The 24,554-nt window shown below is 54.6% G+C and overlaps 1 protein-coding gene across 9 annotated transcripts in view, besides 3 other annotated features; it reads right to left on the bottom strand.

Moving 5' to 3' along the window:
- SORCS2 (sortilin related VPS10 domain containing receptor 2) overlaps positions 1-24,554 on the bottom strand; it is a 550,290-nt gene that overhangs the window by 40,129 nt on the left and 485,607 nt on the right. For all 9 annotated transcript variants that reach the window (XM_005247987.5, XM_011513515.3, XM_011513516.3 and 6 more), the window contains 3 exons: positions 19,810-19,956; positions 13,111-13,213; positions 5,425-5,501 (listed from right to left, as the gene is read on the bottom strand). In XM_005247987.5, the coding sequence (XP_005248044.2) occupies positions 5,425-5,501; positions 13,111-13,213; positions 19,810-19,956 (327 nt within the window). The remainder of the gene's footprint in view (positions 1-5,424; positions 5,502-13,110; positions 13,214-19,809; positions 19,957-24,554) is intronic.
- Positions 299-967: an enhancer, noted in NCBI's record as "H3K27ac-H3K4me1 hESC enhancer chr4:7703459-7704127 (GRCh37/hg19 assembly coordinates)". NCBI's record gives its function as "activates a minimal SCP1, AML or CMV promoter by ChIP-STARR-seq in naive H9 embryonic stem cells {active_cell/tissue: H9 hESC(naive)}" and the evidence as "EXISTENCE:reporter gene assay evidence [ECO:0000049][PMID:30033119]".
- Positions 4,731-5,273: an enhancer, noted in NCBI's record as "H3K4me1 hESC enhancer chr4:7699153-7699695 (GRCh37/hg19 assembly coordinates)". NCBI's record gives its function as "activates a minimal SCP1, AML or CMV promoter by ChIP-STARR-seq in naive H9 embryonic stem cells {active_cell/tissue: H9 hESC(naive)}" and the evidence as "EXISTENCE:reporter gene assay evidence [ECO:0000049][PMID:30033119]".
- Positions 5,274-5,815: an enhancer, noted in NCBI's record as "H3K4me1 hESC enhancer chr4:7698611-7699152 (GRCh37/hg19 assembly coordinates)". NCBI's record gives its function as "activates a minimal SCP1, AML or CMV promoter by ChIP-STARR-seq in naive H9 embryonic stem cells {active_cell/tissue: H9 hESC(naive)}" and the evidence as "EXISTENCE:reporter gene assay evidence [ECO:0000049][PMID:30033119]".

Below are 24,554 nucleotides of genomic sequence, written 5' to 3'. Positions count from 1 at the left end.
TGGTGCCAGGGAGTATGTGTGGAATGAATCAGTGAACAAGTGAATGAATGGCCGACCACCAGATCCCCAAGGGACAAAAGGCTGAGTAGCCTGGACAGGGCTTACCCAGGAGTGGATACTGAGGGTGGCCTGGACAGGGCTCACCCGGGAGGGGACACTGAGGGTGGCCTCGCTTGGCAAACAGCCCCAGGATGGGGTCCCATTGTACACATGAGGAGGCTGAGGCTCTGAGGGGTGGAGGGTATGCTAAGGCCTCACAGCTGGAAGGTGGCAGAGCCGGTGGTGGCTCCAAAGTCACACCAGGACACAAGGGGCCTGCCCCAAATCTCCAGTGAACATGCATGTGTGGGCGGCCAGCGCATGTCTCAACATGCCCAGTAAGGGCACAGCCATCTCCAACACATCGCCCTCGCCCCATACCGCCCCTCCTCGAAAGTGGCCCCCTTTGCCCTCCCACCCTTGCCCATCTGTCTCCCAGGCCTGTGGCCCACAGCAGGACACAGGAAAGCCCAGGAGGGGACAGAGGACAGCCACCCCAGGCAGACCCCACTAGGGCCAGCACGCTCATCCGTCTCAGTGTGCTCAGAGACTCAGCGAGCCCTTGGGGACCGTGGACAAGTCCACATGAGCTGGGCTCCTGGGCCTCCCGGGAAGGCACAGCTGTGCAGAGCTTCCAGGAACAAGCATGCAGCAACTTCGTGCCATGTGGGGCGGGATAAGGAAGGAGGCTCGGCTGACCCCTTCCTAGCAGGTGCAGAGCCTAACGGGGCCTCATGTGCACTGTGCCCAGGGGGCTGGGCTGGGGGTACCCCAGGCTCCAGGGGGACATTCAAGGGCAGCTGGGGAACAATCATGGGGACGCTGGAAAGAGAAGCATCTGCGCCCGTCTTCCCTCTGCCCCTCCATATGGAGTCTCCCTCAGAGTCTGAATGCTGGGTTTTCCAGGAGCCAGCAGAAGGCCCTGGGGAGGACATGGACTGAGAATCCACACTGCAAGAACATGAACCCCAGCAGACCTGGGTGGGGGCCGGCAGGCCACACCCTTGGCCCTGGTGTCCAGCAGGTACCCTGACCCCCATGCTCCTCAACCCCACCAGAACTTTCCAATGCTTCCGTGACACTTACAGTCAAGCCCAAATCCTACCACGGCCTCAGGGCCCCGAAGGAGGGGCCCCTGCCCACCTTGACCTTGCTTCCTTTCCCTGAATACACCCAGGCTCTCTGCATGTGCCGTTGCCCTCCCTGCAAAGCCCTTCCCCAGGCGTTTCCTCCTGGTTATCACAGTCGGCTGCCATTTCCCACTGCTCTTAGGAATTCTCCAGGAAGCACTTTTACCTTGGATAAAGAAGAGAGGATCCTTATGAAAAATGATGGAGGGTGAGCAGCTATGTCCCAAAACCTTCCCTCCCTCTTCCCGTCTCCCTCCCTCCCTCTTCTTCCCTCCCTCCTCTCTCCTTTTTTCTCTCTCTCCCTCCCTTCCCCCTTCTCTCCCTCTTCCCCTCTCCCTCCCTTCCTCCTTTCTCCTTCCTGTTTAGAGTGGGGGTCTGTCAGGTGATGCCAAATGACACAGAGGGGTGGTGCCACCAGGGCCAAGAAGGATTAAGCCCCTCCCTGGTGGGGGTGCTGCTGCCCATCAGGGACTTGCAGGATCCAGGCAGGCACCTTGTGCCGTGAGGCGTGCTGCACACAGGATCTCACTGAAGAGCAGCCAGGCTCACAGGTTATTTCCCCACTTTCCAGAGACACTGAGGCTCAGAGACACAGTGACTTGCCTGAAGCCACACAGCTGGTGACTGCCAGACACCAACCCCTGCCCCTTCCACGGGGACTCTGTCTGTGGACATCTTGCCCCCACACAGGTGGAGACACACTCTTGTGGGTGGTGGGGTCGCAGGCTGGAGTGGGGATTCAGAGTTAACCTGGGGGCTCCCCAGATGTCCCCCAATGCTCTGTGCTCCCTCCGAGGTTCACGGCCCTGTCTGCCCCCGGGGGTGGAGCGGGGGCAGGGGAGTTGTCATGCCGGGATCCTCTGTCCTAATGCTAGCTCAGGAAAGTGCTTGGAGAAGCACAATGCCTATGGCTACATTCATAGAAATTGTTTCCTGGACAAGGGAGCTGATGGCCTGTAGGCTTTAGGGTGTCACAGGCACAGATTTTAGGGGACTATGAAGAAGAACGTTCCACAGTTCTCCTCCCCATTGATCTACCCATCCGACAGACCCATTGGTCTGGGTCCTCTCTGTTGGGGATGCCAGCATAGATGCAGGCCTGGCCCCTACAGATTCATAGCCTAGGGAGAGACCCCCAAGGAGGCAGATCATCCCTGCACAGTGACAGTGACTTGCCCACTGGGTACCAGCAAAGAGAGGGGGCCCTGTCATCTTTACCCTCGAGCCCAGTTTCAGGCCCTGCCACAGGACGAGGGGCTCAGCCAATGTTTTGTGGACAAATGACATTTTGTTTTAGGGAAAGTCCAGATTTGAGTCAGCGGGCAGCCCAGGGAGGGGTTCACAGGGCAAGTGGAACTTGGGGAAACCTTCGGAGGCACAAGGGCATCACAGGCTGGAGACAGAGGGGCAAAGGCCTGGAGGGCAGGAGGGCAGCTGTGTCCAGGGAGCAGGAAGCACGTGGCTGGGGCGGGAGCCCTGGGGGCACACGGAGAGGCCCCGGGACAGATGAGCAGCTTGGAGGCCGGTGTGACACCTAAGGCTTGATTGGGGAGTCACAAGAGCACATTCCCTTTCAGAAGATTCCTCGGATGCTGGGAGAGACGGACAAGAGGGGCAGGGGCTCGTTAGAGGCTCCCACAATGATTTAGGAGGAAAATGAATTCCCAAGCAAAGGGCTCCCCTCCAGGAAGGAGTGAGCTCTCTGTCTCGGGGAACATCTGAGGAGAAGCGAGTCTCCCTCACCAGGACAGCAGTGGAACGCGTGCATGGCCAGGCGGGTGGCGGAGACCACGCTGGGTCCTGTGAGGCTGGAGGAGAGGGGCCTCGTGGATAAGCCCACCTGCCATGCCCGAGCATGATTCCCCACCCTTTGAGGGCGTGGCTGCAGCCCCCTTCCCTGGCTCCACCAGGAGCCTAAACGACTGCTTTGGGGGTCCCCCGAGAGAGATGGGGCTGCTGAACAGCAGGGTGTGGTGCAGTGAGAGGAGAGTGGGCTTCCCAGAGCCCAACAGTCCTGGAGTGCAATTTCCCTTTGGTACTGAGCTGGCCCCCTGAGCCGGTGCACACCAGGGCTCTGCACTGGGACACCTGGACGCCTGCCCCAGCCACCCTCCTCTCCAAGCGTGGGCAGGAGGGCGATGCTGCATCCACCCAGGAGGAGACGAATGGAGTGCCTCCTGGCCATCCTGGGAATGACGTCTGCTCTCATTAGCTTGGGGCTCTGGGAAAAGGTGGCTCCAGGGTTTTCCAAACCCCACTGGCAGGCTGCAGGCTCTTCAGACGCCCATTCCTGTGGTTTCCTGCGCCTTGAGCAAGCAGCAGGGCCGGGTGGGGAGAGCAGAGAGCCTGTCCCCACTTCACCCTTTTCCTGCCTCCCCCACACACTGAGTTTCAGCCAGGGGCTCTGTAATGTTTTCTGGCTTTAAACAAAACATCCTAGGAAACTCATGTTTTTGAAAGGTTATGTCGATTAAACCAGATGCACTCTGGCATTCCACATTCGTATTCTGAGTTCTCTCTCAGACGCATCTCACTGCATCCCTGGCAACCTGGGCACGATAGGAAGCCACGGAGACCGTCCTGGGCTCACCACCCTGCCCTCCCTGCCTCTGTCCCACTCTGCCCCTGCCTGGACATCCTTCCTCCTCAGCCCACCCCAAGAAACTTAAAAAAAAACCCACAGGAGCATCTCTCCCTCCCCTGCCACACGCACAGGCCTGCCCCTTGGGCGCCTGTCCTGTACCGCCAGCCAGGCAAGCCCCTCTCCTTCCTGCACTGCGCCATCTTTCGGGAAGCACCAAGCACTGCCCTGGCCAGGCCTCGGCTCAGCACTTTCCCAGATGCTCTCCCATTTAATTCTGATATTCCCAAGTTTGAAATCTAAGCAAATTCCTCGGCAAAAGCGACTGCTATGACTATCTTGCAATCCGTTTCTATAAAATCAGAACACCTTCTATTTCACCCTGTCTATTGAATCTAATACGGGGGAATCTTCTCTAATAAATGGACAGATGTGACCTTTAAGAAGCTTCAAACATGTTTCACTAGTTTTAGTGAAATAGAAATATTAAAATACAATAAATCGCCTTTGCCCTTTTGAAAGTTCTATGTTTCTTGCATATTTTTAAAAAACGTCAAGGCCTTCAACCCAGGCTGCAGGTGAAGCCTGCACTTTGGGATCAACACGTGTGCCCAGAGCATTGCTGTGTGGGAGGGGGGCCGTGGCTGGGGTACTCGGGCGTGTAAAACACTGACCTCAAACAGAACGTCTTGTCTGGAAGGAGATAGCCATATGTAAGTTTGATTCATTTCCCCAGTATATAAAGCAGACACTGCCACTCCATGAGGTTGGCAGGCCAGCTTCAGCCAGAAAGACCATGTTCCCCGCCCCCTGGAAAGAAACAGCCAGTGTACAGTGAGGCGGTGCCCCCTCCTGGGGTGGGGAGCCCAGGCGTGGATCCTAGAGCTGCCTGGACCACGCAGGACACGTGGTACCGACTGGCATCCCTCCCTCAGCCTCGCTTTCTCCACACCCTGAGGGCCATCAGCACCATTGCCTCTGGTCTGCGAATCTGAGCTCCACGTGGGGCTGCATGGAGCACAGAGGGACCCTGCCCAGGCCATCCTGTGCTGGTGGGAGTGGCCGCATCCTGCGTAAGTGTGCACTTCCTCTCCGCTCCTCACTTCCTTTCTCTTCTCGGGCCCTGGGATAGCCCCCAGACACCCCAACCCAGACTCACAATGACCCCCACAACCTGCTCCTCCCCCCATATTCTCTTTCACTGCTGTGTCCACAGCCCCTGCCAGGAACCCGGAGTCCCCCGTAGCCCCCTCCTGGCCTCTCTCTGGGCTCCCAAAAGAGCCCAAGTCAAGGCTCAGAAGCACCATGTGGCTCCCTGGCTGGGACCTCCTCCCTGTGCTGTTCCCTGGCATTTATCCCCGTTTCTCAGATGTTCGCAGTGACACGTCCAACTGTGTGGAGACGTTTCTTGCATCTGTCACTCCCTATCAGTGGCCATGGGAAGAGCAGCTGGGTGGTCCGAGCCATCTGCCTGGACTTGCTTTTCAAACCCAGCAGATGCACATCTGCTAAAGTGAGCCCTGGCTCCAGCCACTTTGGCTGCAAGATGGGAGACATGGCTCAGAGCTTCTCCCACAGAGCCTCTGGAATGGACGGGATGACAGAACAGAAGTGTCTCCTGAGGGTCCCGGCTGGATGGGGTGGGGGGTACCAGGCACCTCCCAGCCAGCTTACCTGCCGCCAGGTGTGACCACAGTCTGACGTGATGTACATTTCTTCTTTATATTCCACCAGCTGTGAGCCCAGGTTACCTGGTCCAAAAGAAAAGGGGCAGTACTACCCTTAGGATCGTCCAGCTTTACCCCTTTAACAAGTCTGAGCATGGAAAAACCTCAAGCAACGGTGGCCAGTGCCCCGGGTCTCCATATCCCCCACAGACCTGCTGTGGCTGCTGCGCTGGGGCCCTGGGTCTGGGTCTATGCAGTGAAGGATCAGCCCTGCCCAAAGACAGCCACATTCAGGGGACTCCAGCAGAGGCCCGGGACAGGTGGAGCTCAGGTACCTCAGAGAACCCACCAGTGTGGTCCACAAATAAGAAGCATGGAGTGTGGCTAGGGATGGGCTGGAGAGGACGTGGGCCAGGTGGGCCAATCATGGGCAGCCCCTGTGGGGCTTGAAAGCAGGGCAGGACATGGCCGAGTTTGTGTTTGGAGACAGCTCCTGGGCACCGGGTGCAGAGGAGCCAGAGGCAGGTGCAGGAGAGAAGGCAGGTGGGCACACACCAGGGTCTCACTATCTGCTGGGTGGACATTTGGGAGGAAGGTGAGGTGGGCACCAAACCAACTGGGGGTGCAGAATGTGGTTTGGGTTTACTGGAGCCCCAGCACTGGGCTGATTGGGTCCATCTCCAGCCTTGATGCCTACTCGGAGGGGCTCAGACTTAATGCTGTGGGCAGTGTCAGAATGGGAAGAACTCATGGCCAGCATCCAAGCCAACCTCATGTTACAGATGAGGAAGCTGAACCCACGTGAGTCTCCTGTAGAAAGAACAACGGCCGTGCATAACAGCACAAGCACCAGGAAAATCATCACAGCCTCTGGTGCTGCACCTGGCCCACCCTAACCAGCATCCTGAAATAGCTTGAACAAAGGATTTCTGATGAGACAGATTTGGGACTTCCACTGTACCCAATGGCTGTGGCAGAGACAGGGGTCCAAGTCTCCAGGATGATGGGGACCCTGATGACGGCATTGAAGCTGTTCTGGGGCCCCAGAGGCCCCACCCTGGGTGACTTGTATATCATTTGCCCTTTGAAGCTTTATTTAGGTGGCACTTTCAGAAGTACTTTATCCAGGGTCAAGTTTAGAAGTCACTGGAAAATTCCAAAGAAGATGGATTGTCCTCAAATAGATGAATTAAAAGTTAGTTCTCAGAGTGGCAGGGTGTTTGTGTGCCTGTCTTATTAAGTTCATTTACCTAGCTACTCGTAAATCCACCCATCTACCCACTCACCCACCTACCTATTCATCCATCTGTCCATCCATCCATCCATCCATCCATCCATCCACCCACCCACCCACCAATCCATCCATCCATCCATCCATCCATCCATCCATCCATCCATCCATCCACCCACCCACCCATCCACCCATCCACCCATCCATCCACCCACCCACCAATCCATCCATCCATCCATCCACCCACCCACCCACCAATCCATCCATCCATCCATCCATCCATCCATCCATCCATCCATCCATCCATCCACCCACCAATCCATCCATCCATCCATCCATCCATCCACCCACCCACCAATCCACCCATCCATCCATCCATCCATCCATCCATCCATCCATCCATCCATCCATCCACCCACCCATCCATCCATCCATCCATCCATCCATCCACCCACCCACCCACCAATCCATCCATCCATCCATCCATGCATCCATCCATCCATCCATCCACCCACCCACCCATCCACTCACCCACCCACCCATCCACTCACCCACCCACCCATCCACTCACCCATCCACCCACCCATCCAACCATCCACCCACCCACCCACCAATCCATCCATCCATCCAACCATCCACCCACCCACCCAACCACCCACCCACCAATCCATCCATCCATCCATCCATCCATCCACCCACCAATCCATCCATCCATCCATCCATCCATCCACCCACCCACCCATTCACTCACCCATCCAACCATCCATCCATCCATCCACCCACCCATCCATCTAACCATCCACCCATCCACTCATCCATCCATCTATGCATCCTCCCATCCATCTTTTATTAATCTAATATCCATCCAATTGATCATCCCTCCATCTACCTATTATCTGAGTTCCACCACTCACTCTCTCCTGCATGTATTCAATGGCATTTACTGAGTGTCTACTCTCTGCACAGCCCTGTGCTGAGCTCTGGTGAGCTGAGCTGAATGAGCTGTGGCCCATGCTCCCTGAGGGCTCTGAATCTAGCAGACAAGGGTGGCCGTGCAGGTGAACACAGAGCCAGGACGGTGGACCTGTGAGGAGAGCCTCAAGGAGAGCCTCAAGGAGAGACTCAGGCAGGAAAGAGCCTCCGAGTGGAGCCTGGAGAGCTGAACGTGGCTGTCCAAGGGAAAGGGGACTGGGTGTCCAAGGAAGAGGGAGCAGCCTGGGCAGAAATGTGGACCCGGGCAGGTGCAAGACAGATAGGATGGGTGGGGCAGAGGGGCAGGTGTGGAATCTGTGCAGTGTGGTGCCTGGCAAACAAAAGGTGCTGAGCGATGGCTGCTGAATGAATGAAGTGAGTGAGGTGAATGAATGAACAGAAGAAGCAGCAGGGAGGAGAGAAAGAAAAGATGCCTTTTATCTTTCTGCTATCCCAGGCGCCAGCAGCCACTCTGGGACACACGCATCACAGGCGGAGCCGGGCAGGGAGTGTTGCCGCGTCAGCACACTGCGCGGGCCAATTTGCAGTTTGTAATTTCAAATGTGCACACGTCTGTCTTTTAAGAAATGCTATCTGTTTTCCTTGCTCTGTCTACCAAAGCTGTCAGGCTGCCTGTCACCTAACAGTCTCGGGGGAAAGAAGGAGCGATTCACGGAACACGTTGCAGGCTGTCAGAGTGGAAGGGCCTCCAGAAAGCTGAGGCTGACACCCTCATTTTATGGATGGGAAACTGAGGTCCCAGGGTGGAGGGAGGTGATGAGGGGAGAAGCTTCTCTGCTGCCTCCCTGCCTGGGTGTTCTGGTGTCTCTTTGGGCCTCCTCTCCTCAGGCCCAGGACCCCTGCCCTTCCTTGATGCCAGCAGAGTGGTAGGAGTCAGTGCTCACTGAATGAAGACATGCTTCCTCTCCATCCTTCCTCTGCCCCTGCAGCCAGAAAACAGAGCAAAGCCACACACCAAAATCTACCCCACCCACACTTCACCAAGGAGGACTGCGGGGCAGACGCCAATGGCTCCCGAGACAGGGAGCACCGGCGATCACCAAGACACAGCCGGGGCCCAGGTGAGTGGGCTGCCCCATAGTCTTCCAGGTTCCGCCGGTGCTCCCATCTCTAGAAGGGCCCGGTGAGTGTCCACAGAACTGGTGGGGCTCAGTTCAGCTCCCAACCCCACCCAGGCCCCTCAGCCAGGCCCAAGGGCTTCTCGCCCTCACATCTAGACATGTCCTGACATTGATGGGCCCTTGACTGGCCGAGTCGCCAAAAAAGGGACTGTGCTAGGGAGGGCTGGGCCTGCAACTGGCTCTGAGACTCAGTTCCCTGAGTCAAGCCAGCAGCACAGGGCAGGCTGTGGTGCTCCCAGCTCCCAAACGGCCCCCTCAAGCTTTTCTTGGCTAAATGCTACCATCACCTCTGCCAGGGCTAGGGATGGAGAAGTGTTCACTGGCCTCTGCTCTGTGTTGGATCCTGAGGACGTCTGGATGATCAGCTGGGACACAGACCAGTGACCAGGATGGGGCAAAGGACAGTGCAGGGAGCAGGCTCCATAATCACCTGGGGCACCCACAGCATCTGAGGAGCAGGTGGGGGTTGGCACACACTCTGCACTCTTTGGCTTTCTAGGGGAGGCACAAGAGCTGGAGCAGGAACCCGAGGACCTGCCCTGGGCATGGAGAGCAGCCTTGGCAAAGGGGTGGTGGGAGGCAGCTGGCCACAGGCCGTGCAGGGTCCGGGAACACTGGCTCGCTGGGATCCCCGAAGGTGTGGAGCAGGAAACATTGATCTCACAGGGTATAACTCAGTGTGAGGATTCCTATCCTAGTCTATTGAAAGGAAGAAAGGATGAAGATGAGGAAGAAAGGGTGAAGATGAGGAAGAAAGGGTGAAGATGAGGTATCCTTCAGATGCCACTCACTCCAACACAGGAGCACTCAGAAGGGAGCCAGCCGTTCAGTCCTGCAACACGCCCAGTCGGGAAGAACCCGCCACCGGCACCCTCGGCCAGGGCTGGGTTGATTTCTGGGATCAACATGGCTGATTCTCCACCGGGGGGTTAAAAGTCAAGTTTTTGTCTTTGCTTCTCAAATCCATCCCCTTCTATTAGTAGCTGGAGCCATGGCTCCACTTTCTGGGTCCCTCTGCAGTCTGACCTCTGGAGGCTGGACCTGAGGATGGGCCCCAGAGACTGGAATGCATCTCCTCGAGCTCGAGACCCCAGCGCGGCACTCCCCCACCTCCACCCTGCACACGCGGTGCCCTCTGCCTAGAGTGTCCTCCCTGTGTGTCGGCTTGGCAGATGCCCATTTGCCCAGCAGACTCAATCCAAACCCCAGGGAAGAATCGAGTGCCCATACCCTGTGTCCCTCTGGACCATCTTGTAGGAACACTCGGCATCAGGATGCTTCTGGCCCTGCGGTCATCATCCCTTTGCTCCTCTGTTCAACCCCGAGCAGCTGAGTCTTAGCTCCTTCATTTCCAGTACCCAGTGCAGTGCCTGGCATGGGGGCAGGAGTGCCCAGTGTCCCCTTGGATGAGAGGACAGCCTGGCAGACCACACCTGCCTTGAAGGTTTCCTGCCATACCCTGTCTCATCCTTACAGTGGAGGTTTTATCCTCTCATTTTGCAGATGAAACTGAGGCTCAGAGAAGTGCAGTGAAATCTCAGAGTCCTACAGCTGGGAGGCATAGAGCCTGGGGCTTTTCCCTCTTGTCTGCCTGCCTCTGGGATGGAATTCAGGAATGAACGGCGGGGTGGGCAGGGGAGCGACCCTGTGGAAACAGGTAGCCATCATCCCCAGCCACCTCCAGCAGTGCGGTCACGTGGCACTGGGACCTGTGCCAGGGCAGGCAGCCATGTCGGGCCAGCAGATGTGAAGCCAGCCCACGCGCCTTTTCCTCCTGCTCCCAGCAGATGCTCAGGGCTGGAGAGGAGGCTGGAAACAATGGACACATCAATTGGCCCACCTTGCATGCCTGGCTCCACCTTCCAGGAAAGCCCTGGCCAAGACTGAATAGAAGTGGATAAAATAGAAGTGTAGTCTCCTGCCCTTGTAGGGACAGTGGGGGGCAAGCAGGGAGGGAGGAAGGCTGTGACTGACACCCCCACAGAGTGAGGGGGGCTGCTCTCGGTGCTTTGCATGACTCCTGCACAATTCAGGGGTGCACTGAGAGATGTTGGGAGACCGAGACCCTCATTCTGGGCTCTCAGGGCCTTTGAGCAGTGGAAACATTGGAAATCATGCCTTTTTGCACTTTGGTCAAGAATTTGGGGTTTCAGCGAATCAAGACAGTGCATTTTAAATACCCTGTCATTGAGGAGCCCGGGAAACCAAGTGTACAGGATTGGGGGTGTCTAACGTGGGTGGTGAGCCTGTCTGTGCGTGGAAGCTGATAGGCAGTCAGCGGCTTCACATTGATGCTGATGGGTCACATTTTCGTTGATCATTGTGGGGGCAGACAGAGGCTGTCCAGATGGGCTGTCACTGCCTAGGACCCCGGGCATATAGAGCATGCAGAGGAACTCCGGAAGCTGAAGGGCTTTGTTCACAATCCCCTCCCTTCCCAGGTGCAAAGCTCCAAGCTCCCCAGACAGGCCAGGTCTCTGCCGTCAGACCCAGCCCTGCACGTAGGCTTCACCTCCAGCCACTCCCTGCACTCTGGTCTGGTCCTTTGGGGTCCCCACGTTCCCCCTTCCACCCAGAAGGCCATTCCTGCCATCACAACATGGCCGCTCTTTCACTTGTCCCTTCACTCACTCATTCACAAACAGCCTTGGAGGGCCCACCCTGGGCCAGGCCCCAGCTCGGTGCTGCGATATAGTGAAGGGTAAGATGTGGTGTCCAGCTCAGAGTCTGGGGTCCACATCCATATGGTCCTTGGCCACTGGCCACACAGCCACCCCCTCTGTGTGGCAGATGGTGCTGGGGGAAATGGAGGGAAGGGGTCCTGGGTTCAGGAAGTGTGAACTCTGGGCCTGTGCCTCTGCTGTTCAGTGTCTGCAGGAGATGCTGCCTGTCTGACTGTCACAGACCCCATGTGCAAAGTATTCCCCGATTCTCCCACACACCAGCCAAGCGACCTCAGACAGGTGGCTCTACTTTGTATTTTGAATGGTTCTTCTAAAGCAAATCAACCTCATTTTATGGTATTATTTAATCAGTACACCAGGATTCTTGGATGTTCTAGTTTAGTGGAAGAGACAAACACAAAAATTATAATTTTGGGTTTTTTAAAAAGTGCTAGTTGTATACTTGTTTTTCTCCCCCCACTAAACTAGAACTTTCTTCAGGGGCCAATAAATATCAACCATGATATAAATCATCCATCCATTGATCCACCTACCCATCTATCAGTTTTTCTATCCATTCATCATTCATTCGTCATCCATCCATCCATTCACCATCTATCCATCACCCATCATCCGTCTATCATCCACCCATCCACTCATCCATCCATCCACTCACCCATCCACCTATCCATCTGCCTATCCACCACCCATCCACCGCCATCCATCCATCATGCATCATCCATCCATTCATCTATCCATCCATCCATTCAGCATCTATCCATCATCCATCATCCATCCACCCACTCATCCATTCATCCACTCATCCATCCATCCATCCACCCACCCACACACCCACCATCATCCATCCATCAATTCAGCATCTATCCATCATTCATCATCCATCCACCCACTCATCCATCCATCCACACACCCACCCACCCACCCGTCCACCTATCCACCACCCATTCACCATCATCCATCCATCATGCATCATTCATACATTCATCTATCCATCTATCAATTCAGCATCTATCCATCATCCATCATCCATCCACCCACTCATCCTTTCATCCACTCATCCATCCATCTACTCGTCTATCCACTCATCCATCCACCCACCCACCCATCCACGTATCCACCACCCATCCACCATCATCCATCCATCATGTATCATCCATCCATTCATCTATCTATCCATTCATCTATCCATCCATCAATTCAGCATCTATCCATCATACATCATCCATGAACCCACTCATCCATCCACTCATCCATCCATCTACCACCCATCCACCATCATCCATCCATCATCCATCCATTGATCTGTCCATCCTCCATCCATCCATTCACCATCTGTCCATCATCCAGCCAGCCATCATTCATCCACCATCCACCTATCCATCATTCATCATCTATCAATTTGTCTGTCCATCCATCCATTCATCCACTCTTCCATCTGTCCATCTTTCCATTCTGCCAACACATACCATATGCCCACCCTGGGCCATGCATTCATTTCTCGGAATTTGCCATGAGAGCTGAGCTTCCTGGAGATGCAGTGGTACTGCCTCCTAAAGGACATACTATGGCCTCAGGCTCATGACCATCCCTTTTTACCCTTAAGATTGGAGGTACTCTTGGGCTGTAATGGCACCTGCCAGCCACCTGTGATGGAAGCCACCTACCTGCACCCATGATGAGGCCTGGGGCGGTGTCCTTGGTGTGCACGGTGCCTGATACGTAGGGGTTGTCTGCCCAGCGCAGGTGCAGGTGCAGGTGGCAGTCTGGCTGCAAGGAAGAGAAAGGACGCAACTGTCAACACATGAGTAGGAGCATCCTTAGGAAAACTAAGCCTGATGACAAATCTGCCCCTGTGGCTTTTTGGGAGAGAAGGCTGGGCCAGGAGTGCCTTGGAGGAACGGATGGAGGATGGGAAGCAGGTGTGAGGCTGACCTTTAGGGAAAGGGTGGGAAGTACAAGGGAAGCTTCAGCAGGTGCTGTGCTGACAGCCTGGGAGGGGGAAGTGGGCACAAGTGAGGCACCTGGGAGGATCTGTTGGTTCCCTAATCTAGATTAGGGACTCCTACAGCCCCTGGGTGTGGTGCCTCTGCTCACGGATGCAGCTGCTGGGGCTTCTCCCACTGAGGGCTCTTGGGCATCGGTCAAGAGCCCAAGTGCCGGGTCAAGTGCCGGGCCATGGGATGTGATTCCTGGAGCCTGCACAGCCCAAGCTCATACTTATTCATTCACCTACCCAGAACCTTTATTGGGAGCCTCTTATGTGACCACAGTATCCCTGGCATCAGAGGACAGCTGGGGTCACCCCGTAAGACCCTCTCACTTTGAGATACAGAGGGGTGGGTTAAGTGTGCAAGAGCTCCAGGGGGTTGTCTCTGGAGACCCCATTCCTCCTGATCTCTCTCTGGCAGCCTGAGATACTGGGTCCCAGAGGTCTGGCTGGCCGAGCCCTCCTTGGGTGCACCACGAGAGACCCCACTGAACCAACAGATGCCAAAAGGCTTTGTGGGGTAATGACTCTGGGCTCAGCCTTCCTAATTTCCCCAAGTCAGGGAACTCCATAGGGTGAAGTGAGGCAGCGCAATCCTCAGGCTGGTCACAGAAAGGGCAGGGCTTGGACTCCTCGTACCTCCTCTAAATGGCAGTGTGGCCTTATGAAAAATGCTTAGCCTCTCTGTGCCTTTCTTTCTTCTCTGTGAGATGGGGCAATAACCTCTGCTTCACAGGATATTGGATTACTATGGCACAGCTCTGGGGTCCAGCCCTTCCCCTGGGCAAGATACTGCCCAATTGTTTACTGATAAGAATGGTAAACATTGTATTTGCCACCTTAAAATTACTTTTTTCTGTTAAAAATCTCCAGCTTAGAAGTACGCTAGAACTGGGTACTCAGAGATCCAAATTGTAACTTAGGAGACACCACTAATTTTCTGGGCAGCCTTGGGACTCAGTTTCCTCATCTGCAAAATGAAGACAGTGACGGTGAGGCCTGCTGACCCGCTCTGCAGGGGTCATTCCAGAATCCCCTCGTCATTGCGGTATCATATCATCTACTAACATCACGTCAGAGGTATCCTCTCTCTTCATTTCATGTCTTTATAACACTTTCTTCTGGCCCATGAATTGCTTACGTTTTACACAGGTGACTCTAACTTAAAAGTTAAACCATTCAGGAAATTGGATATTGACTTGGATAAGATGCGACCAGGTGGTGGCCGCAGTTGGCAGACAGGCTTTATTTGTCTGCTCAAGGGTTTAACAGATGTACTGGTTGTATTACATGTTGTACGATTCACCCATGAGCAATGCCCGGAGCAGGGAATCTACAGAGCCAGGAACGGACAGTTGGTTGCTAGGGGCTGGAGGCTGATGGGGGATAGCGAGGTGACAGCTAAGGATCGGGGCCTTCCTTTTTTGGGTGGTGAAAATGTCCTAAAAGGGACAGTGGTGATGGTGGCACAACTCTGTGAATAGACTAAAAGCCACTGAACTATGCATTTGAAAGGTGAACTGTGCAGGATGTGACATCTCAACAAAGCTGTTAAAAACCAAAAAAAGAAAGGTTGAAAATTCAGCTGAAAGGTGGCCCTGTGTCCATTGCAGACGCACATCCTGAAGATGACTGAGGGACTGAGACCATCCCCAGTGGAACCTGGGGAGCCCGGAGCTGAATACCACAGGGCCTCGGGTGGCAGGAGCCTGGGCACTGTGTCACCCCTGGAGAGCCATCTGAGGGTTCCGGAAACACCTGGATCCAATAGTGACAAATGGGCCCCAATGAAAACCTGTGAGGTGTTAAGACGTTGCCCGCTGCAATAGATTTTTCTGATTTCTTACAGTGGAAAAGCAGGCCTACGAGTGAATAGACTTGCTGGCACCTTTCAGTCCTACCCTCCTGCCCCACCCCAGATAGCTCAGGCAGAAAGACAGAGGCGACTTGCTGAGGAGGGAGGCTGCTGTGATCTTGGTAGGCAGGGTTGGGCTTCTGCGCTGCAGAAGGGAGCTCTAATCAGGAGAAGGAGAAGGTGTAGTGCAGGAGTCCCCAGCAGCAGTGTGCCCGGCAGAGGACGCCCTGGCTCTGCCATGCTTTGCTGTTCTAGGTTTCCTAGAAGGCCAGAGCTCATGGGTTGGTCTCCGTCAACCTCTCCCGTTCCCCCGATGAGCTGTGCACATCTGGTCACTTGCTGCGTGCACAGTGGTTAGAGTTGAATTAGAGGGTGCTGCTTCACAAACCCTAGCTACCTCTCCCCACCCCTCGCCACTAGTGGCCTATTCTGGTTGCCTGGCACTCAGGCCAGAGAAGTGGAACCCTCCTCAGGGTTCCCTGTGGGGTGGCCAGTTACGGCCTGCAGGCCACTGGTGAACACAGGCGGCTCTATGAACCCTTTTGCATTCGCCTTGCGGCCTGCTGACGGCCAAACAGACGGCTCCCCCTTCTCCTGGGGCAGCTGCAGGTGCCATGCTGGTGTCTGACACACGCACTCCCACGCAAGCCTGGGACACCAGGTGAAAAGAAGGGCAATGCCGGCAGGCTTGGAGGTGCCTGCCCATGGGGCACCAGGATGTCCTGCACAGGTGGCAGGCCAGTGCGCATCAGGAGCCCCAGAACCCGCCTTGGGTGCATGTGGTCAGAGACAGGGCTTCCTCTGAGGCCACCCAGGGACGAGGACAGGAGAACCCCGGGGCAGGCTGTGGCCCTGGGAGTGCATGCAGAATGCTCCAGTGTTGACCGAGGTGGGCCCGGGTTCCTGCAGGGCTGGAGGCAGGCCAAGCTGGGGACTCACACTGCTCCAGGACTCTCCCTTCTCTGTCCGTTTGGCACATAGGGGCCAGAGGGTGCCCTAAAGAAGTGTCTAGCAAATCATCAAAGCCTACCAGATGGACCAGGGCCGGGAGATGCAGCACCAGCCACCTGGACGCCTGGCACTCACTGCAGCCTCACGCCTTAGAAGAGTGACCATGGACTGCACGGTGAATGAAGTTTTATGCTGAATTCAAGATGCAAACAGATTCAAACCACTTTCCAATGAAGCTGAATCATCCTAAAACAGATCTGATCACACCACTCCTGTTAAAGCCATCCCTGCATTTCCCCATTGAGGGAAGGAGGTATCCCCAGACGGGAAGCTGGTCAAGTGGCCTGAGCAAAGATTTGTGACCCAGAGTTCAGAGAAAAACAGAGGGCTGAAAAATCACGCACGTGTGGGATCCCAATGACAACTTCATAACGTGTGTATGAGCGAAAAGATTGTAAAGAACAAAAATGCCCAGTTATTGTTTTTCTGGATGGTGTGATTCTGGTGATACCTTATTTCCCTTTTTATACCTTTCTGTATCTTCCAAGCATTCTGCAATAATCAGGCATCACTTTTATGAGCGCTAAGTCCTCAGGTACAGTTTGCCCATTCATTGAGAGGCTGTGTGGCTGCAGGAGGGACACAGTCAGGAGGTGCTGTGAGTGGCCCAACTTGTCCTGCCCCTGCACTTTCACCCTTGGAGATGCCATGGCCACACACACAGGATAGCCCAGGCCTTCTGAGCCATACGGCTGTCATATATATATATATTTATTTATTTTAATTTTTGAGGTGGAATCTCGCTCTGTCACCCAGGCTAGAGTGCAGTGGCACGATCTCAGCTCACTGCAACTTCCACCTCCCAGGTTCAAGCGATTCTCCTGCCTCAGCCTCCCAAGTAGGTGGGATTATAGGCATGTGCCACCATGCCTGGCTAATTTTTGTATTTTTAGTAGAGACGGGGTTTCATCATGTTGGCCAGGCTGGTCTCAAACCTGACCTCAGGTGATCTGCCTGCCTCGGCCTCCCAAAGTGCTGGGATTCCAGGTGTGAGCCACTGTGCCCAGCCCGTGAGGCTGTAATTTGATGTCTGTTGTACCCACGTGGGCTCCATGCACTTGGCTCTGCATTTCCCCGTGCCCAGTCGGGTTCCCACATGCCTGCCTGAGGCCACACGCTCACCAGTTTGCTCCCATTTCATTATTTCAAGGCCAGGACATAAATCTCACCGAGGTTATCTCCTCACTGAGCTGCATAATCGCAGACAAGAGTCTATTCTTAGCAAAAACTTGCTTTGACAGATTAATATGGCTTAACTTTGCCAATGATGATACAAAAATTAGCCCTTTCACAGCAATTCTGTTCTGGGAAGCGTTTTTACAAAGGGCTGGTAATTAATTCTCCACACAGGTCGACAGGTGTTATCAGCAGGAGCGGGGCTTGAGCAGAGGCGGGCAGCCGGCCCCTGAGAGGTGAGTGTTCACGAGTCAGAGCTCAAGCCTCAGCTTAGAGCAAGGGGTTGCCCTGGGGGCCACAGAGTCCCACCCTGGCCCCAGGGTCAGGGCTCTCTGGGAGGAGGAATTCCTCCCCTCTTAGTACCACGGCCTCCATGGGCCAACACTGGGGCTGGTGGTGGTGGTGGGGAGGGGGCTCACCATTTTCTGAGCCCTGCTGTGTGCCAGGTGGAATCCCAGGAAGACAGGGAATTGTCTTCTGTTTTGCTGGTTGGTGTGTTCTGAGCCTGCAGAACAGTGCCTGGCACATTGCAAGTGCTCACGCAGATTTGCTGAATATAAACCTGTCAAACGGGTACTTTTGTTCTTTCTATTTTACACATGAGGAAGCTGAGGAAGAGTGATGGGTGGTTTCAGGTGTCCCCAGGGTGCAGTCTCTAAGAAGGGCTTATGGGTGACAGTGGGAAACAGACAGAGAAGCAGTATGCCCAGTGAAGGGCTCCTCAGTGGAAGGAACATGTGGGTAGGGTTTTCAGGTGTTAGTAGGAGCTTGCTGGATGAGGAAAAGGGAAAGGGCATTCTAGGCCTTGGGGACAGCGTAGAAAGAGGGAGAGCTTGAAAGGGAAGGGATTGGCTCTTCCTTGCAGATTGCTCCATGTCAGGCATAGGCCAGTCTCTGCATTCTTTCATCTCATCCTCACTCCAATGCCAAAGGGATGTTTATCATCTTCCTCCGTTTTCAACAGAGGCTCAGAGGCACTGGTTGATGTAGCCAAGATCACATAGTCAGGGGGCTAAGACTGCAGCTCTGTGCGGCTCTAACACTAGACCCTTCTCCCACCCTGAGTTGCCCAGCACCTAGGAAGGGGCAGGGATGCTGGTGGTGGTGAGCTCCCTGCGGTATGCAAGGAGAGAAGCCCCGGGAGAGGCCGTGTCTCACAGGGGTGTTGGAAGGGGAGTGAGAAGCCTGGTCAGATTCTCTTGGCCCATTTCGCCTCTTCCTCCCTTGCATCCACTGGTCCCTGGCAGCTGAGTGCTCACCTTAGCTAGGACCAGGGCTCCTTACAGCTCTGTCTCTCCTTCCTCACCAGCATGGGCCTGTGCACCACCTGGATCCCTGGTAGCCACATGAGAGCGGGCAAGAGTCCCAGCTACTTTGAGAGATTCTCCACTCTAGGCAACCAAGGACTCAGGCAGTCGATACTTCTATTCATGTAGAAAGGTGCCCCTGGGATAGTGGACCAGCTTTGGGGCTCAGGATGTCTGAACTCTGGCCCAGCTCTATCACTTACTGGCAGTGCGATGGTACACTGCCCTCCATGGCAGATTAGAAGCAAGTGTCTGCTCCTCAGCCCTCACTCCCATGGGCAGAGTACAATTCCCAGGTCCTTGATGTTGACCAGTAAGATTTAGCAGATGTACCAGCAGGCTTGAATTGTACTTGCCTGTTTCTGTTTATCCTCTTGTACTTCTGGTATCACCATGAGAATTAAGCTGGTTCCAGGAGAAGGATGCAAGATGTGCAGAGCAGAGACCAGCCTAAATCAGTCCATTCCCTGACATGAGCAAGCCCAGACAAGATCAGCAGAGCCACCCAGCTGAGCCCAGACAAGATCAGCAGAGCCACCCAGCTGAGCCCAGACAAGATCAGCAGAGCCGCTCAGCGGAGCCCAGCCAAGGTCAGCAGAGCCACTCAGCTGAGCCCAGCCAAGGTCAGCAGAGCCGCTCAGCTGAGCCCAGCCAAGGTCAGCAGAGCCGCTCAGCTGATCCCAGCCAAGGTCAGCAGAGCTGCCCAGCTCAGCCCAGACAAGATCAGCAGAGCCGCCCAGCTGAGCCCACCTGTAGATCTGGGGAGTAAATGTTGTTGTTTTGGGTGGTTTATTGCACAGCAATTCTGTGTCAAAAACTGATATACTTCCCTCTCTGACCTCCAATTAACTTTTCTGTAAAACAAGGAGTTTCATTTGACCCTCTCTACCACACCCAGCAGAAATAGGTGGTTCATGTGTCTCAGATGGTCCTTCTCAGACATCACCACCTCTGACCTTCTTGATTACTGAAGTTATATCTAGCATCCACGCCAAGGATGGTGTGTGATGTGAGCAGAGGTACTTACAGGCTTGCAGTTGGTTGGTTTTCCATTCATGTCCATGCTGGGTGGCCTCAGGTAATCCCAGTCGCGGCCCTTGTTGTAGGTTATAAGCGTCATCACTTTCCCATCAATTTTTTGGTTTGCCAGGAAGACTCCTTTCACCCCTCTGACCTGGGACAAAAATAAAAGAAGGACTGTAAACTTACACTGGAGCACTCTGATGACCAAGTATCCACCATGCTCCAGCCCCTTGCTAAAGTGCTCTGCACATGTGGCCTCATTTCACAGTCACAATGTCCAGCAGCTGAGACACATTCTAGAGGTGAGTGAGGTTTAGAGGGGCCAGGGATTCAAGACTCTGGCCCCAGTTTTAGTGGGAAGCTAGTTCTGTCTAGCTCTGAAGCCTGAATGATTTTCATGGTGCTGAGCTGTTCTCCCAGGTCCAGACACCAACCATCAGATGGCAAGTGGGGTTCTGGAGCCCTGACCTGCCTGTCCCTCAGAGTCACCCCATCCTTGCCTCAGAGGTCCTGATTCAGAGCTCAGATCCTCCCAGTGCCTCTTCTTTCTATTGGACCACACATCCTGGACCAATAGAATTGCCTCTGGGCTTGCCTCTGCGGACCCCCAGCTCAATCCCCATACAAACATGCCAAGGAATGAAGACAGGAGGGTCCATGCTTACCCTAGAACACCCGGGACAGGGCTCCACTTGCCTTCATTGCTCAGGGCTAACCTGGTCCCTTTCTCAAGGTTTCCTAAGAGGCCCATGGCAGTGACCCAAACATATCCAAGAGTGGTTACTAAGTTGACCTATAAGAAACGTGCAACTATCAGCAACTTCACATAGTTCAACCGAGTGGTTTGCTCCCAGAGAGGGTCTTTTCCTGCAAGTTCCTTATTTCATGGAGGGTTTTGACCCGTATTTATCAAGACCCACTAGTGTGGTGTGAAGAGGCACGGGAATGCCCACCACTTATCAAGGCCTCCTGTGTGCCAGGCCAGAAGCTGTTTCTGCACCTGTATATGCAGCATGCACCATGGGAAACTGAGGCTCAGAGGGGGTGCAACCTGCCCAAAGGCCCATAACCAAAGATTCCCTCTAGGATAGTAACGGCATACAGTTATTAAGTGCTTCTATGTTACAGGCACTGAGCTTAAAATGTGTCCTCTCACTGAATTCTCACAACTCCAGCAGGTCCTTATGGGGAGAACAACAGCAGCCATGATGATGAAACCAGCAGACTGGGGTCTGAGCTTCCAGCAGCTGCTATAACAGATGGTCACAAACCCAGTGGCTTCAGACAACACACACGTATTCTCCCACAGCTCTGGAGGGCAGAAGCCTGGCATGCGGCTACAGTTAAGTGTCAGTGGAATCGCATTCCTTTCTGGAGGCTCCAGAGGAGCTTCCCTTTCCTTGCCTTTTCCAGCTTCTAGAGGCACCGGCATTCCTTGGCTCATGGCCCCTTCCTTCATCTTCAAAGCTAGCAACGCTGCATCTCTCTGACCGTGTTTCCACCATCACATCTTCTCTGACTCTCTCTCCTGCCTACCTCTTCCAATGTTAAGGATCCATGTGCTGACACTAGGCCCCTCCAGATAACCCAGGTCATCTTCCTGTCTGCTGATGAGCAGCCTTAATTCCTTCTGCAACCTCACTCCTCCTCTGCCACATAAGGTAACATACATGCAGGTTCTGGGGCTCGGGATGTGGCCATCTTTGAGGGGGTCACTATTCTCTCCAGTGCAGTCCCTCCCCTGACCCCCAAGGACACGCATCAGTCTTCAAGTAAAATACATTCACCCCATCAAGGTTTCCAAAGTTCTCATCTCATTACAGCATTCATTCAAAGTCAAAAGTCTCATCTAAATATCACCAGATCAAAAGTTCCAAACCTTATCATCTGAGTCATCTAAACCAGATGTGGGTGAGCTCTGGGTAAAATCCATCTGTGGAGCTGGGAAACTAGCAAACAAATTATCTGTTTCAAAGTGCAAGGTTGGGACAGGCACATGGTGGTACAGATCTTTTGCCTCCCACTGATGGCTGTGGCTTGTTTAGGTTACCCTCGGAGTTGGCTCTCAGAGACTCAGGGCTGCCTTCATTGGATGTGGGAGTTGGGGGGCAGGGCAGGCTCTTTTCCTTGGGACCCACCAGGTCTTATCAACACAGGCAGACAGAGTCAGGAGCCAAGGGGATCACACTGCGAGCAGCCTCCCAGAGTTTCTAGGGAACGCCATACATGTGGCAAATCCATGCACAGAGCATTCAGCTGCCTGTATTATCTGCATAGGATGCTGTGGTCTAGAGGGTAGCCTTCCTCTCTGCAGAAGAAGCTTCATCAATGGTCCTGTTGGGCAGACAGTCCCAGGGGCCGGGAGGAGCCAGCTCCTTCTTGCCCATGTGGCATCACTCTGTCTCCTGCTCACTCGACTCAGTGACTACAGATGGGGCCCCTGGCCCAGAGTCCAGCTTCTTTGTGAGATGTGGTACCAAGAGCAGGCCCTGCAGAAACCCAGGACTCCATGTCACAGGGGTCTCGAGTTCTCCCCAGACTCTGGCCTTGGTCTGCAGGAGAGGAGCTGCCGGCGGCTGGGAGAGGGTGGGGCACGTGCATGGGTGTGAGCCTGTGTCTCTGTGTGTGAGTATGAGTGTGAGTGTTGCCTATAGATTGGCTGCAGACAGGTCCCTCTGTGCTAGACTTCGGACAAGCCGCACACCCAGCAAATGGCTGCACATCGTTTGCTGTGTGGTCTGGAGCTGAAGGGAGGCCCGGGGAATGTGCCGCAAGTCTTTGTGTCTTACAAGCTCATAGAACCCTGACAAGGCAGGCAGGATGGGGACCCAGGGACATCACCCAGAGGGCTTCTGCCCTGTCTAGTGCTTGGTGCAGATGCCTTTCTGCTGTCCTCAGGGCAGGTAGAAGGATGATTTTCCCATGATGGTTTGTGTTATTGGGTAACTGCCATTTTATATCCCAGCTGGGTCTCCATGAAAATGCTCAGCAATAAATAACACGGATCCAGATATAGGCCAAGGCCCCCGGGTGGGTCTGATTGGCTGAGCATCAGCTTAGAATATCAGTGTGTCTCTGCATAACTGCCCATATCACAGCTATATTCATTCCCTGCATCTGCTGTAAAAAAAAAAAAAAAAAAAAGTCCCACAAGTTGTGTGGCTTCAGACAACAGAAATTCATTCTCTTGGAGGCTAGAGTCCAAATTCAAGGCGTGGGCAGGGCTGCGCTCCCTCTGCAGACTCCAGGGAAGCATCCTTCCTGCCCCTTCCACCTCCGCGCCTCCAGCCCTCCCTGGCGTGCGGCCGCGGTCTCTGCCTCTGTCTCCATGGGGCCTCTCTGTGTGCCTGTGGCTCCTCTCCTGTCTCTGATAAGGACACTTGTGATTGCATTTAGAGTCCCTTGGATAATATGGGATGATCTCTTGAGTGCTTGAGTCTTTCACTTCATGACGCTGCAAAAATCCCTTTTCAAATAAGGTCACATTGCAGGGCCTGGGTATTAGCATGTGAGCCACCATTTCGATGTCTATTTCGGGGCCACCATTCAGCCCATTAGGATGCCTTGTGGCCAGGGCTCCTTGGGGGCAGGGGACAGGGCTATGTCCCCTAAGTCCCCATTCATAACCCAAGCTCCAGCAAAAGAGGAGCCTAGGAAATGTTTGCTGTCTTGCCTCACACCTGGGTTGTGCCCTGCTGGGGGAGAGACCCCTGCAGCCTTCCGAGGCAGTACCTGGCTCTGCCGTCTGTACCAAACATTTTTTTCCTGGATGTGCTGCTGGGTGCACAACAACCACGACAGCAACAGTACTGGCCGTGGGCAGTGAGACTCAGGTGCCAGCCCCACCATGAATTATCCCTGATCCCCAGAAAGGGCAAGTGCTGGGAAAACAAAGTGAGTGCTCACTTGGAAACAGGCGCTGCTCTGCCTGTTTAATAGGAATGACAGCCTTAAACCTCACAGCAACCCTGTGAGGAAGGTGCCACTACCATTCCTGTTGCACATAGGGAAGCCCAGAGAGGTTAAGAAACCCACCTACGGCCACACAGCAAATACATACCAGTTCATGGACCTGACCCTCGGGAAGTCAGGCTCCAGAGTTGTGCTTGTAACCACCAGCTGTGACCCATGTTTGATGGTTTTCAGAGAAGGGACATCCCTTGGGAGGGCACCCAGCTGGTGGATGGTGGGTGTCACCTTTGAACCGGGCCACTGCGAACCTCTTCTGGCTTCTTGCTTCCTCTCACCTTGAGGCCTGTGTGTGTGGCTCTGAGCTCCTTCCTCACCTGGCTAACTCCTGCTCAGCCTCTTCCAGGAAACACTCCCTGACTCCTGCCCCAGGCCGGCCAACCGCCCCTGTGCTGTGTCTCCAGGAAGCACAGAGAGGTTAAGAAACCCACCTATGGCCACACAGCAAATACATACCAGTTCATGGACCTGAACCCCGGGCAGTCAGGCTCCAGAGTTGTGCTTGTAACCACCAGCTGTGACCCATGTTTGATGGTTTTCAGAGAAGGGCCATCCCTTGGGAGGGCACCCAGCTGGTGGACGGTGGGTGTCGCCTTTGGACCGGGCCACTGCGAACTTCTTCTGGCTCCTTGCTTCCTCTCGCCTTGATGCCTGTGTGTGTGGCTCTGAGTTCCTTCCTCACCTGGCTAACTCCTGCTCAGCCGCCTCCAGGAAGCACTCCCTGACTCCTGCCCCAGGCTGGCCAACCGCCCCTGTGCTGTGTCTCCAGGCCCCAGCACT

This window comes from Homo sapiens, chromosome 4 (assembly GCF_000001405.40).
Source record: "Homo sapiens chromosome 4, GRCh38.p14 Primary Assembly".
Classification (NCBI taxonomy): domain Eukaryota; kingdom Metazoa; phylum Chordata; class Mammalia; order Primates; family Hominidae; genus Homo; species Homo sapiens.
The sequence above is the reverse complement of the archived record's forward strand: the minus strand, read 5'-3'. Positions and strand labels throughout refer to the sequence as shown.